At 37.0% G+C, this 15335-nt stretch overlaps 1 protein-coding gene across 5 annotated transcripts in view; it reads right to left on the reverse strand.

The window, feature by feature from the left end:
• Positions 1-15335, reverse strand: part of LRRC39 (leucine rich repeat containing 39) — a 31220-nt gene that overhangs the window by 4852 nt on the left and 11033 nt on the right. For all 5 annotated transcript variants that reach the window (XM_047445522.1, NM_001256387.2, NM_144620.4 and 2 more), the window contains 6 exons: positions 15105-15295; positions 7167-7272; positions 5960-6116; positions 4932-5068; positions 2873-3018; positions 1752-1904 (listed from right to left, as the gene is read on the reverse strand). In XM_047445522.1, coding sequence (XP_047301478.1) covers positions 1752-1904; positions 2873-3018; positions 4932-5068; positions 5960-6116; positions 7167-7272; positions 15105-15217 — 812 coding nt within the window. In that variant the 5' untranslated portion in view covers positions 15218-15295. The remainder of the gene's footprint in view (positions 1-1751; positions 1905-2872; positions 3019-4931; positions 5069-5959; positions 6117-7166; positions 7273-15104; positions 15296-15335) is intronic.

Here is a 15335-nt window from a genome sequence, read left to right on the forward strand (position 1 = left end):
CGTTCAAGATGGGTTAAAACTTAAATGTCACATCTGAAACAGTAAAAATCCTAGAAGAAATCCTAGGAAAAACTCTTCTGGACATTGGCCTAGGCAAAGAATTTATGATGAAGACCTCAAAAGCAAACATAACAAAACCAAAAATAGACAAATGAGATTTAATTAGAAAAACTTCTGCACAGTAAAAGTAATAATCAACAGTTAATAGACAACCTATAGAATGGGAGAAAATATATGTAAATTATACATCTGACAAAGAACTAATATCCAGAATCTACAAAGAACTCAACAAGAAAAAAACCAACCCCACAAGCGGGCAAAGGACATGAACAGACATTTCCCAAAAGAAGACATACAAGCAACCTAAAATAATCTAAAATAATTTTTAAAAAGAAAAAATGCTTGACAGAGTTTTGATAGTACTTAGTAAAAAGTTATATCTAGTGGCTTTTTGTTTGTTTGTTTTTGTTTTGTTTTTAAGAAATAGTCTCTGTTTCCCAAGCTGGAGTACAGTGGCGCAATCTTGGCTCACTGCAACCTCGAACTCCTGGGCTCAAGCGATCCTCCAGCCTCAGCCTCCCAAGTAGCTGTTATAGGCATGCACCACCACTCCCGACTAATATATCTGCTATCAATAACATAATTGTTTCCCTTTGTGCTTATTTAGGAAATAAACACTTTTATGCTTTTGATTTTTATGTTGTGAGTGAAGTTTTTTTAGCTGTATAATTTTCATGAAAATGTCATCAACAGAGGACATTTCTTTTTTTTTTTAGGTTGGTATTATAACATTTATTAAAATAATGCTATGGGTTAATACAAACAGCGAAGAACCAAAGAATTAAAATGCAAGCTATGTAAAATCCCAACTAAAACCCAAAAATGTCTAATGTATTCATTCATTTAGCTAACTAGAAGCCCAAAAGAGACAAGACACCCAATATAATAAAGTACTGCAAAACAATTGGCAATTTTCAGTTATCAAAATTGTGGATTTTGCAATTTGTATCCTTTTCTCAAGAAAAAAAATTCCTTTTGAATGTTATGTAACATACATATAAAACAAGATAGAAAAATACACTATAAACTTGTAACAATGGCTGTAAATATTTTATCTTACATGTTTCTCATAGGCAATAGGTTGGTTATGGTACATACATAGCATGAAACATAATAAAGAAAAGACAAAAATACTTGTCAGCTGTATGGTAACATACAAGTGACACTCCCATCTACCCATGCTAAAAAATTACATAATACTGTGAGAAAAAAAGTCTTAAAAACTACATATTTTAATAAGAAACAAATTCAATGAAGAATGATAATACTGAGAACCAAGGCATTCAGAGATTTCAAGTCATGCTTTTTTTCAGTTGATTCAAAATTTTGTCAACCAAGTTTTCAAAAGTTTGTTCAGAGCCAACATTACCCATAAAGGTCACACATTTATTATTTCATACATTTACTTTCTTCCCCATAAAAGACCTTTGATAAACATCTAAAATGGAAGACATTTCTTAAAGCTGATAAATCCCAAACTGCTTTAGTTTTAAGGATTCTTTCTTGAATAGACCAGTGTTATATGAATCCTATTCATCAAATTATAGAATGTCAACATTGGAAAAGATTTTTAAGATATCCATTCACATAAATAACAACTGAAATTTATTAATAACAATCTCTCTACAGTACTTTTTTCTGTAGCCAGAAAGAAAGCAAGGTTTTTCAGTTTTGTGCCTACAACTTTTTACCTCAGATTTGCCATTTCTTCCATGCATACTGGAATATCTTGCAGTTTATTGTTGCTGAGAACAAGAGTACCCAGATTTTTCATATTGCTGATTGTTTGAGGCAAGCATGTTATTTCATTTCGTTGCAGCCATAACGTATGTAGATTTTGCATTCTGAAAAATTAAGGTTTCTACAATTAATTACATATAATATGAAAATATTGGTTTTGGAGTTTTAACAAATAATTTTAAGAGGTAGGGGTCTTATCATGTTGTCCAGGATGGTCTCAAACTCCTGAGCTCAGGCTATTCTCCCCCTCAGCCTCCTAAAGTGCTGGGATTACAGGCGTGAGCCACTGCACCCAGCCTTTGGTTCTTATGTTAAAAATCAAATGTCTTTTACAACATCTTTAACCAGTATACTTATTGAGTTAACTGACATCACATTACCTGGTTATTAGAGAAACCACATCAGGAAGTTTATCTCTACAGTACAACTCTCATGTCATATGGCAATAGAAATGAAATCAAATCAACATATTCTAGAATTCTTTCACTATTCTCATAGGATTTCTTGAAGAAGAACTACTGTAAATGTTACCTAATCTGAGACAGAGTCTTAAGAGAACAATAAAATGATGAATATGCCCATTTATAGCAAAGCAGTATGCATAATGCGTAACATCATGAACTCTGGGGCCAGGCTGCCTAGGTTCAAATCCTAGCTTGCCCACTTACTAACTTGAGCGAGTTAGCTAACATCTCTGTCATTAGTTTCTTCATCCACTTGTAAAGTGCATAGAAGTGCTTGGCATATGCTAAGCAAGGTGGTTATTGTGGCATATTCTTGTTAATTTCTCAAAGTCAGCCACTTTTGGCCAGGTGTGGTGGCTCAGGCATGTAATCCCAGAACTCTGGGAGGCTGAGGTAGGTGGATCACTTGAAAAAAGCCAGTTTTTTCTTCTTCCCAAACCCTTTTACTTACTTGGAACAAATGAAAATATTCTGTTAAAACAGTGTATTTCAAACTAGTTGGACCTATTGTGATTGATTATGCTTGAGATCCCATTTGTCTTGCTTGGTTATTTTTCATAAGAGGTTTCAAGACTTTTATCATTAGCATAAAGAGTTATTTCTTTTACCTTTCTATAGTATCAGGAAGTTGTTCAAGTTTGTTGCTTCCCATGTCCAGCCACTCAAGGGCAGGCATGTTCAACACAGCAAGAGGGATTGTAGTAAAATCGTTCATACTCAGATCAAGGTGAGTAAGTTTTAGCAGATTGCTGAGCTGAAGAAGAAAGCAAGGTTTTTCAAAATAAATGTCCACAATGTAAACTACTAAAAGACTCACATTGGTAAAGGAGATATTTCACATCCAGGAATATTCACATTTTACTTGGGCTTTATTTAGTCATATTAGTCCGCAACAAATTAAAAATAAATATAAAGCTAAATGACCTCCAGGGAAGTGGAAAACTCTCATAGAAAGTTCATCTATTTGAAGAAAATTTATCTTTCATAATAACCTGGTTTCAGGGTTTATAGAATGTGCCTGGCAAAACCTTTTTTTCCCTGAGAGTAAGCACCCATTATCATGTTTTCCTTTGATCCAGTAGTTGAGAATTGTATGGGAAAACTCAACATTTAACTTCCAAATAATAGTGGTGGAGGAAAGGGGTAGCTCATGCCTATAATCCTAGCATTTTGCTAGGCAATTTGGTAGTTAGGAGGATCACTTCAGTCCAGGAGTTTGAGACCAGCCTGGGCAACATAGTGAGACCCTGTCTCTACAAAATACTTTAAAAATTAGCTGGGCATGGTGGCACACGACTGTAGTCCCAGCTACTTAGGAGGCTGAAGTGGGAGAATTGCTTGGGCCCAGGAGGTTGAGGCTGCAGTGAGCCAGAATCACACCACTGTACTCCAACCTAGGCAAAAGGTGAGACTCTGTCTCAAAAAAAAAGACTGGTTAATAGACTGTACAAAATCACATAGCTTTTATAATGATGGAGCCAACCCAGAAACAAAAACACATGAGTTAGAAATAAAATATTTATTGGCCCTCTTGTATGTGTAAGAAATTATCCATATGATTATCATTTTTATTGTATGCAAAGTGATATGGTTTGGCTGTGTCCCCACCCAAATTTCATCTTGAATTGTACCTCCCATAATTCCCATGTGTTGTGGGAGGGACCTGGTGGGAGGCAATTGAATCATGGCGATGGTTTCCCCCTTACTGTTCTCATGGTAGTGAATAAGCCTCATGAGATCTGATGGTTTTATAAGGGGTTTCCCTTTGCACTTGGTTCTCATTCTCTCTTCCCACCATGTAAGACGTGCCTTTTGCCTTCTGCCATGATTGTGAGGTCTCCCCAGCCACGTGAAACTGAGTCCATTAAACCTCTTTTTCTTTATTAGTTACCCAGTCTTGAGTATGTCTTTATCAGCAGTGTCAGAACAGACTAATACACAAGGGTATACATTTCATTAAATTGAACTATTAGAAGATATAATGTATATGTATATACTGTGTTTTATTTGCAAGAGCGACAATTGTTGGTGACAAGTTTGCTTGTTTGGAAGAAAAGTCTGATACACTAATTAAGATAAAGTGGGAGAAGGGAATAGCCTATTTTATTATTTTTCTTAACTTTTATCTTGTAAAGTCATTGTTTTCAAAGCCAAAGCACCATGGAAACTTCTTCACTGATTCTAAGAGCATTAAATATTTTCAAAAAGTAATACAAATGTCTTTATTTTTATATGATCAATTTGGTTTGACCAATAACAAGACATCATACCAAATCAAAGTTTGGAGGCATTCCAGTCCCATTGCTATCACTACATTGTCTGTGCTTTATGATAACCATTTATTAATTCAAAAAGCATTTAAGTAATCACTACAACCTAGGCTCTGCCCTCAATTCTGAGACTATAATACAACTCTCACCCTGGCCTTCAAGGAGATCACAGTTTAACAAATGATGTCAGTACTGTGATAATAATAGAAGTATCTTTTACACTAAATCTTTCTCCAGTTAAAACCTGCATTATACTTAAGGAAATGGTTTTCTCTAAATATTTTTTCTGAAATACATAGAATTTTCTCATTAGTTTTATTATTGTTAACAACCACACATTGAGTGGTCAACTACTGCAGATGGAAAATACAATCATAGGCATTTATGTCTTTCTAACCTCTTGTGGAAGATCACATATATCTCTGTTAACAGCCAGTTCTAGTTTCTCCAAGCTGGCACAATTACTTAGTTCCTTGGGGACAGTCTTGATTTTGTTGTAGCTGAGAATCAGTTCCTGAAGTCTAGTAAGCAGTCCTATAAAAAATAATATACAATAGAGAGGAGTTGGATATAAAATAATCTTTATAGTTATTAAGGTATTACAGCATAACTTTTTTTTTTTGAGACGGAGTCTTGCTCTGTCGCCCAGGCTGGAGTGCAGTGGCGCTATCTCGGCTCACTGCAAGCTCCGCCTCCCGGGTTCACGCCATTTTCCTGCCTCAGCCTCCCGGTAGCTGGGACTACAGGCGCCCGCCACCGCGCCCAGGTAATTTTTTGTATTTTTAGTAGAGACGGGGTTTCACCGTGTTAGCCAGGATGGTCGCGATTTCCTGACCTCGTGATCCGCCTGCCTCGGCCTCCTAAAGTGCTGGGATTACAGGCGTGAGCCACCGCGCCCGGCCTACAGCATAACTTACTTGCCAATTTTGTATTGGCAAATTCGGAGTTCTTAGTGTCTTTCCTTTTCCCAGTCTGTGTCCTGTCCCTTCTTCAAACAAGGGACAAGTTTATCCGTGCAATAGGAAAAAAAAAAAAATCGAAAACTATTTTCATTTTGTCTACACAAAATCCTCAGCAATTTTCTATTTGGATTTTTTTTTCCCATTTGAAGAATCTTCTTGTTTTGCTTTATTGCCTTCAACCTGTTGTTTCCTAAGAGGAATAGCTGAGCCGACAATATTGTTCCGAGAATCACAGGATATTTTCCAAAGAGGCTTTTCTTTCATTGAAATCTCATCTTGAATCACCTCAGTAAATCCACAAACTTGAATCCCCTAGAAGCTTCAATTTAGATTAAATGTTTAAAATTCTCAAGGTTGAGGGCTGTATAAAGAGGTCTTTATTCCATGTATCCAAAAAAATCTTAATAAAAAGCACATCTGCAGGTGGATAAAATAGCACAGGAATAAAAGTAATCTTTCTTACCAATCCCTGGTGGTATCTCTGAAATTGTGTTTCGAGATAAATCTAACACAATGAGGTTCTGGAATCTTCCAATGAATTCAGGAATTTTCAGCAAACCAGTTCTATGAAGTTGCCATTCCTGTAGTTGATTCAGTTTCAGCAGAGAAGAAGGGAGGGTCTACAGTAAAAGAAATGATGGTTGTTGTATATTACTTAAATTTTTTTAGTATCACGCCACCCTGAAATGTGATATTTGACTTATACAAGCACTTTGGAATATTTGGAATTTGTTTTCCTTAGTGGGTTACTTTTCCAAGTGCTTTGTGTGACTTCCGGATTTTAAGATCTTTCCTTTTTTTTTTCTTTTCCTTTTTTTTTTTTTTTTTTTTTGGCTAAACCTTCAAACCCCAATCATGATAGAATAAACAAAAATATTTTGATCAATAATGTACACACATCCAGTATGTCCTGATGATTCTGTTATGCAGTATTAGGCTTTCCTAAAGTACATATATGTTATTGAAAATGAGACAATCCAAAAAAATAATTTCAATCAATAATTCAAACTGCTTTTCCACTTCTGTTTTGAAATACACGAATATTTTTAAAAATTTATTTTTTAATTTGAGAATTTTAAGAGTTTCAACTATTCTGAACTCTGTGCCTTTTCCCTTTCAGCCTAAAATAGCCAGTAGAGAATATAAAGGAGCTAACTCTGACAAACACTGACATAAAACATAAAAACAAACACTGACCCAAGGGTTAGAAGCTCTTGTAAAAATTAGAGTATGCCTAATATAATTAACCAACTGTGAGTTTGTGTGTAAGGGGAAGAAAGAATATGAGTTAGGTGGTAGACCCACTGAAAATACTAATATTTCCATTCCATAAAGTTTTAACTGAGCATTTCTTTGGAAAAGCAATATTATTTTTATTAGGCAGATGGTTATCTTTTTTATGGGAAATGAGAGGTTGCTATAAGAAGGATTAATAGGAGAAATATCACAAATGATTTAGGTTTAGGCAGGGTTGAAGCAAACTGAACTTTTGCAAAATAATTGTGAAGTTGTGTTTCTTTTCAGTTGCACATGTTGCTCAAATTCATTTGGTGTATTATTAAAATTAGTTTCTAACTATTCTAGTCTTAATTACACAGTCTCAGAATCATTCTCTCAACTGACTCACAAAATGCAAAATGTGGAAAATCAAATATTCTATAAAAGCTTACCTTCCATTCCTCTTTTTCTATCTTCAAAATGACTCTTCCATCTTCCCTGGTGACCTTTTCTCTTAGCTTGGTTAAGCTTACTCGTTCTTCCCAGATCCGCACTAGCCTAGGAAACCAGGAAATCATTTTAGTTCATAGACAATTACATAAGTGGCATTCACTTTTTTTTTTTTTTGAGAGAGAGAGTTTCACTCTTTTGCCCAGGCTGGAGTGCAGTGGCCCGATCTCGGCCCACTGCAACCTCTGCCTTCCAGTTTCAAGTGATTCTCCTGCCTCAGACTCCCGAGTAGCCAGGATTACAGGCGTCCACCACCACACCCGGCTAATTTTTTGTATTTTTAGTAGAAACGGGTTTTCACCGTGTTGGCCAGGCTGGTCTCGAACTCCTGACCTTGTGATCCACCAGCCTCAGCCTCCCAAAGTGTTGGGATTACACGTGTAAGCCACTGCGCCCAGCCACTTTTATATATATATATTTTAATTACCAATCAAAAACCATTTGACTATTAGTACCTGGAAATCAGACAATAACTTATTTTGCAAGAATTATAAATATGATTAGTACCACAAATGCCCTATTTTTAAATTTTTTAAAAGTATCATAACTCTATAGATTTTATTAATAACTTTTTTGAGGTCTGATACACATACTATAAAAATTACTTTTTTAAGTACACAATTCAGTAAATTTTGGTATATTCACAGATTTGTGCAACTATCATCACTATCTAATACCAAAGCATTTTATCACTCATAAAGGAAACTCCATACCCATGAGCAGTCACTCTCCATTCTTCCCTCTCATACCTCTTGGTAATCACTAATCTACTTTTTGTATATGGATTTTCCTATCCTGGACACTTTATTTAAATGTGATCATACAATATATAGCCTTTGTGTCTGCTTATTTCACTTAGCATCGTTTTTTTCAAAGTTCATCCATGCTGTAGCATGTATTAGTACTTCATTTCTTTTTGTGGCAGAATGATTCCACTGTATGGATCTACCACATTTTGTTTACCAATTCATCAACTGATGGACATTGGGTTAATTCCACTATTGGCTATTTGGAATAATGCTGCTATGAATATTGATGTACAAATTTTTGTGTGACCATGTTTTCATTTTTCTTGGGTATATTCATAGGAGTAGAATTGTTGAGTTATATGGTAACTTTATGTTTAACATTTTTCTTTTTTGAGACAAAGTCTCGCTCTGTCATCCAGGCAGGAGTGCAGTGGCACCATCACGGCTCACTGCAGCTTCAACCTCCCAGGCACAGGTGATCTTCCCACTTCAGCCTCCTGAGTAGCTGGGACTACAGGCATGCTCCACCACGCCCAGCTAATTTTTGTATTGTTTGTGGAGACAGGGTTTTGCCATGTTGCCCAGGCTGGTCTCAAACCCCTAAACTCAAGCAACCCGCCTGCCTTGGCCACCCAAAGTGCTGGGATTACAGGCGTGAACCACTGTGCCTGGCTATGTTTAACATTTTCAGAAACTGCCATGCTGTTTCCAAAATGGTTGCACCATTTTACATTCCCACCAGTGGCATATCAAGGTTCTGATTTATTCACATCCTCACCAATATTTGCTATTGTCCCTCTTTTTTATTATAGCCATCTAGTGGGTGCGAATGGTATCCGATTGTGGGTTTGATTTGCGTTTTCCTGGTGAGTAATCTATAGATATTTAATAGACTTTGTAATGGCTTGCAAAGAATACAGTTCAACTTCAGAATTCAATTTCATCTTACTACATGTTAATTTTATCTAGTCTTTACTTTTTACATATAAAAATGTATAAAATCTTTGTCATTTGAAGCACATTCCTGTTGATTTTTGATCTATTGCAAACATAAGAATGATCTCAAACTAGAAAAATGCAAACTAGAAACTGGAAAACCGGCCAGGCACGGTGGCTCACACCTGTAATCCCAGCACTTTTGGAATGCTGAGGCAGGTGGAGTTCGAGACCATCCTGGCCAACATGGTGAAACCCCATCTCTACTAAACATACAAAAATTAGCTGGGTGTGGTGATGCGTGCCTGGAGTCCCAGGTACTAGGAAGGATAAGGCAGGAGAATTGCTTGAACCTGGGATGCAAAGTTGCAGTGAGCCAAGATTGCACCACTTTACTCCAGCCTGGGCGACAGAGCAAGACTCGGTCTCCAGAAAAAAAAAAAGAAAGAAAAGAAACTGGAAAACCTTTTGCAAAAAGCTATTTCTATCCCAGAAAATTCTTCACTCATGAAAAAGAGAGTAAGTTTAGAATTGAAAATTTTGAAAATTTTAGGCTGTTAAAAGGATACATAATAAATATGAGCAGTCCTGAAAGCATGAAGTTTAACTAATTTGAATATTTGTTTGCCAGAAATCTCTTGACATTCTGAGAGTTAATACATAATTTTAGCAGTTTTGTATATTAACTGATCTTCAATAAGGATTTTATTTTAATGAACAGAAAGCCAAAAGTAAACAAAGTGTTGAATTTGCTGTCTTTAAGTATTTGGGTTTGTAAAATACCTCTCTTAGTATCTGTGTATTTTGATCTATCACTTGCCTAAAATTTAATCTGCTAACAGGTGCCCTGTGGCAGTGGGATATGTGTGGCCTTCTGATCTAAACAGCTAAGCTTCCCATAGATGTGGGTAACTAAGAAAAAATGTATAATGTCAGCTATTCAATTATATTACTTATTATAAAAATAGAACTATTCAAACAATGGGCTTAATGGTTATTATTACTAAGACAGAAATGAAATTCAGAGCAAGATTTAGTAACAAGTAAATTAGGAATCTTATCCCTTGACCTTTAACTTAAGGAATTAATCCAGTAACCATTATAGCCAAGTACTAGACATTGGAGATACAAAAAGCTCTGTTGTTACTGAGTTCACGGTCAGGCTATTATTAGAAAAATCTATTTCCATCTCTGTAAAGATCGCTAAATTCTTTCTGGTTCTGTGTTTTTATGATCTAAGTCCAGAATATACGATTTATTAATTTGGTTACCTTGAGCAAGACATCCCCCATCTGTGGGCCTTACCTATAAAATGTGAGGTTATAATTAAATGATATCTATGTATTTTCCAGCTTAAATATTCTATAATTCCTATACAGCTTTTTCTAAAAAAAAAAAAAAAAAAATTGAGAAAGGCTGTCTCCATGTTGCCCAGTCTGGTCTCGAACTCCTAAGCTCAAGCAATCCTCCTGCCTCAGCCTCCCAAAGCACTGGGATTACAGGTGTGAAGCTGCTTATTTTAATCTTGATATTCTTTCAGGTCTCTAATCGAAATTTTATAACTCTTCTAAAACCCTTTTGAGGCCGGGCGTGGTGGCTCACGCTTGTAATCCTAACAATTTGTGAGGCTAAAGCAGATGGATCACTTGAGGTTAGGAGTTTGAGACCAGCCTGGCCAACATGATAAAACCCTGTCTCCACTAAAAATACAAAAATTAGCTGGGTATGGTGTTGTGGGCCTGTAATCCCAGCTACTCAGGAGGCTGAGGCAGGAGAATCACTTGAACCCAGGAGGCAGAGGTTGCAGTGAGCCAAGATTGCGCCAATACACTCCAGCCTGGGTGACAGAGTGAGACTCTGTCTCTAAAAAAACAAAATAAAATTTGATTCTACAAATTTTATTGTAGAATAAGGCCTTTTTCTGATATTGCCACACCAATCGTTACCTAAGTACTTGATTTTTTCAAGGAGCTTGGCATCAAAAGGGAGAAAACACAATTTCTGTTTAAACTGTAGGCTTTTTTTCTTTCATTTTTTAGCTAAAGCTCTAGCCAATTTAGCTGAACGAAGCAGCATTAGATTACATTCTTACCCTTCTTACCCCTTGCCTGTGTACTGACCCCTTTCAAATCTGCTTCTTTTGTCTACTTCCTTGCCACTCAGTGTGATTTGCAGAACAGCAGCATCATTGTCTCCTGGGAGCTTGTTAGAGATCCAGACTCTTGGTCCTACTCCAGACTTACTAACCCAGAAGCTATTTTAAATAAGATCCCTATGGGATTCCTACGCAGACAAGTTTGAGAAACACTGGTCTATTTCAGAGCAGAGTAAAAAAGTAAGGACATTTCTTTGGGTTACCTTTGGTTGGTTTTAAATTTCTATGAATTTTCCAGTTAGCCTTTTCTCTGGTAATCAGCTTCTCTGTCTCACTTTAAAAGGTCTCTCAGATTCTTACCATTTTGCGTCAGTTATGATTGTTTATTTATTAATTTTTTTCTTTTTTTTTTAAATGAGACAGTGTCTTGCTCTGACACCCAGGCTGGTGTGCAGTGGGTGTGATTGTAACTTACTGCAGCCTTGACCTCCAGGGCACAATTGATCCTCCCGCCTCACCCCTCTGCCTCCCAAGTAACGGGGACTACAGGTGCATGCCACCACGCCCAGCTAACTTTTTGTTTTAGAGATGGGGTCTCGCTATGTTGCCCAGTCTGGTCTCAAGCTCGTTGGGCTCAAGAAATCCTCCTACCTCAGCCTGCCAAAGTGCTGGGATTACAGGCACAAGCCAGCATACCTGGAAAATTATTTATTTAGTCATATTACAGGTTTTAAACCTAACCTTTGATCTCTATATAATTTACTTTTAAAGTAGTTTATACTTAATTTTAACCACAATCCAAGCTTTATAATACTGTACAATGATTTTACAATGTAATTGTTTTAAGATTAAGGGAAAGGTGCTTTGAAAAACTACATTACACAAATTCCATGTAATGTTTCTAAAAGTAGAAGCTGATTTTGGTCTAACTTAACTTTTGGAAATTACATTTTGCTAACAGAGAATCCTCCTCCCTAATCATAAAATAGATGATGCCAAAAAAGAACAAGCAGTAAGAAAGGGCAAGACTGCACACTCATTATTCCTATATAGAGAACTTCTGAAATTTCTGAAATTAAGTGATTCTTAATTAATGACAAAGATCCCTTTTATCAAAACTTTAGCCAGGCTCCACATCCTCTGCTTGACCAGGATTGACCTTGGGCTTCCCTCTCTGTCCTTGCAGAATCCACTTTGAACAGGAATCTTGCTATGTCTGCACACTTACTAAAAACTAAGTGGGAAAAATTATTCCTCCCTGTCAAGATCTTTTGTTTTTACAGATATTTAGCAACACAAATCATTGCTTATCAGTAGCTTCTTGCCCCCCACCCTCGTTTACTGGAAGAATATCAATTGCTTCCAAGTCCAAGTGTTTACCAAGTAATCCAGGTGATATGGTTTTGCTATGTCCCCACCCAAATCTCATCTTGAATTGTGGCTTCCATAATTCCCACGTGTTGTGGGAGGGTCCCAGTGGGAGACAATTGAATCATGGGGGCAGTTTCCCTTATACTGTTCTCATTCTCTCTCCCAAGATCTGATGGTTTTATGAGAGGTTTCCCCTTTCTTTTTTTTTTTTTTTTTTGAGATGGAATTTCACTCTTGTTGCCCAGGCTGGAGTGCAATGGTGCAATCTTGGCTTACTGCAACCTCTGCTTCCTGGGTTCAAGCAATTCTCCTGCCTCAGGCTCCCATGTAGCTGGGATTACAGGCGTGAGCCACCATGTCTGGCTGAGGATTCCCCTTTCATTTGGTTCTCATTCTCTCTTTGCTGACTGTCATGTAAGATGTCCCTTTGCTCTTCCTTTGGCTTCCACCATGATTGTGAGGCCTCCCCAGCCATGTGGAACTGTGAGTCAATTAAACCTCTTTTCTTTATAAATTACCCAGTCTCAGGTATGTCTTTATCAGCAGTGTGAAAACGGACTAAAATAGTAAATTGGTACCGATAGAGTGGGGCACTGCTGTAAAGATACCCAAAAATGTGGAAGTGACTTTGGAACTGGATAACAGGCAGAGGTTGGAACAGCTGGATGGCTCAGAAGAAGAAAAGAAAATGTGGGAAAGTTTGGAACTTCCTAGAGACTTGTTCAATGGCTTTGACCAAAATGCTGATAATGATATGGACAATGAAATCCAGGCTGAGGTGATCGCAGATGGAGATGAGGAACTTGTTGGGAACTGGAGTAAAGGTCACTCTTGCTATGTTTTAGCAAAGAGAATGGCAGCATTTTGCCCCTGCCCTAGAGATCTGTGGAACGTTGAACTTGAAGAAGATGATTTAGGGTATCTGAGGGAAGACATTTCTAAGCAGCGAAGCATTCAAGAGGTGACTTGGGTGCTGTTAAAAGCACTCAGTTTTAAAAGGGAAACAGAGCATAAAAATTCAGAAAATTTGCAGCCTGAGGATGTGATAGAAAAGAAAAACCCATTTTCTGAGGAGAAATTCAAGCTGGCTGCAGAAATTTGTATAAGTAATGAGGAGCCACATGTTAATCACCAAGACAATGGTTTTATAAGAGGTTTCCCCTTTCACTTGGTTCTCATTCTCTCTTTGCCAGCTGCCATGTAAGATGTCCGTTTGCTCTTCCTTCATCTTCCACCATGATTGTGAGGCCTCCCCAGCCATGTGGAACTGTGAGTCAATTAAGCCTCTTTCCTTTATAAATTACCCAGTCTCAGGTATGTCTTTATCAGCAGCATGAAAACAGACTAATACACCAGGGATGAATCTTAATTTATCTAAACCAATCAGTCTCATTCCCCTAGAAGGTAACTGGGTTAGATGTGTACAAATGATCCAATTCTGGCCAATGAGAAGTGAAGGAGAGGTTTGTTAGGGACCCTCTGTGAAAGATTTCTTTACTCTTAAAGAAGAAATAGAAAAAAATAGTTTCCACTTTTCTGAAAACATAATGATCATTGGCTGTGATGCCTGGAAGTGCATCAGTCATCTTGTAACACTGAAGGAAGCTAATCCGAGGATCAGACTGACACAGGGATTAACAGTGGAAGGTGATTAAAAAAAAAAGCTGACTTTTAAAAGATGTTGAGGCTTTGCATTGACTATCTTCAGAACAGCCTCACTTCCCTATCGCCTAAACCATCTTTAGTTGAATTTTTTGTTATTTGCTAACTGACATCGGCAAATAACATTTGCTAATTTAATGTTTAGAAAGAGGCAATGGCCTGGCATGGTGGCTCATGCCTGTAATCCCAGCACTTTAGGAGGCCAAGGTGGGTGGATCACCTGAGGTCAGGAGTTCAAGACCAGCCTGGCCAACATGGTGAAACCCTGTCTCTACTAAGAATACAAAAATTAGCTGAGTGTGGTGGCATGCGCCTGTAATCCTAGCTACTTGGAAGGCTGAGGCAGGGAGAATCACTTGAATCTGGGAGGCGGAGGTTGCAGTGAGCTGAGATCATGCCATTGCACTCCAGCCTGGGCGACAGAGTGAGTCTCCATTTCAAAAATAATAATAATAATAATAATAATAATAATAATAATAATAATAATAATGATAGAAAGAGACAATGAATGAGAATTGTATGGAACTATATGCATCTATGAGGAAAGGGACTATTTTTGCAGGATTAGTAGAATACTTTTTGGTGACATCCAATCAGGAAAGTAGGTAAGATAAAATGGAGGCAGAGGAAATGAGAGTCAAATAAATATAGCCCAGATCAAGGAATCAAGTGATCCAGCAGCTCTGGCTAGAACACATGGCTATTCAAATAAATGAGAATCTACTGTACCTTCTACTGTCAAATGTTGTTTTAGGTCCTAGGGCATATAATGCTGAACATACAATCCTGAAAATTAGACTATATGATACTAATCAAACTTTGATGAATGTTAAACAGAGTCCTATGAGGGTATAAGATAGCTACCATTTTCACATTTGTATTTTTTGTGACTCCTATCGCATAGACAAATTTAATTGAGTCAGCTGTTTTCTTTAAGTATATTTTGAGTTTTCAGTAAATAAAATTCTATATCAAATTCAATAACAAGGCATTTAGAATGCTCTTTTTTATGGTGATGATAATATGAATTTTCACTAATTCAAAATAATAAATATGTTTTAGCATACTTGTGTTGAAATTCCTTCTCTCGCTTCAGGTCTTCATTGAGTTTCTTTATTCTTTTTTCCCAAACTTCCTTTACAGCATTGACAGCCCCAGTACAAACCACATTTTCTGTCATGATTTCTCCACATTGTCATAGTCACCAACTTCATTAGGTTTTGAATAGCTGAATCATAGATACCATTTCAGAAAGGACCTAAATGTACCAGAGAAAAAAAGCAATGTTTCAGACTGTT

The sequence above is a fragment of the Homo sapiens genome, chromosome 1, assembly GCF_000001405.40.
Source record: "Homo sapiens chromosome 1, GRCh38.p14 Primary Assembly".
NCBI lineage: Eukaryota > Metazoa > Chordata > Mammalia > Primates > Hominidae > Homo > Homo sapiens.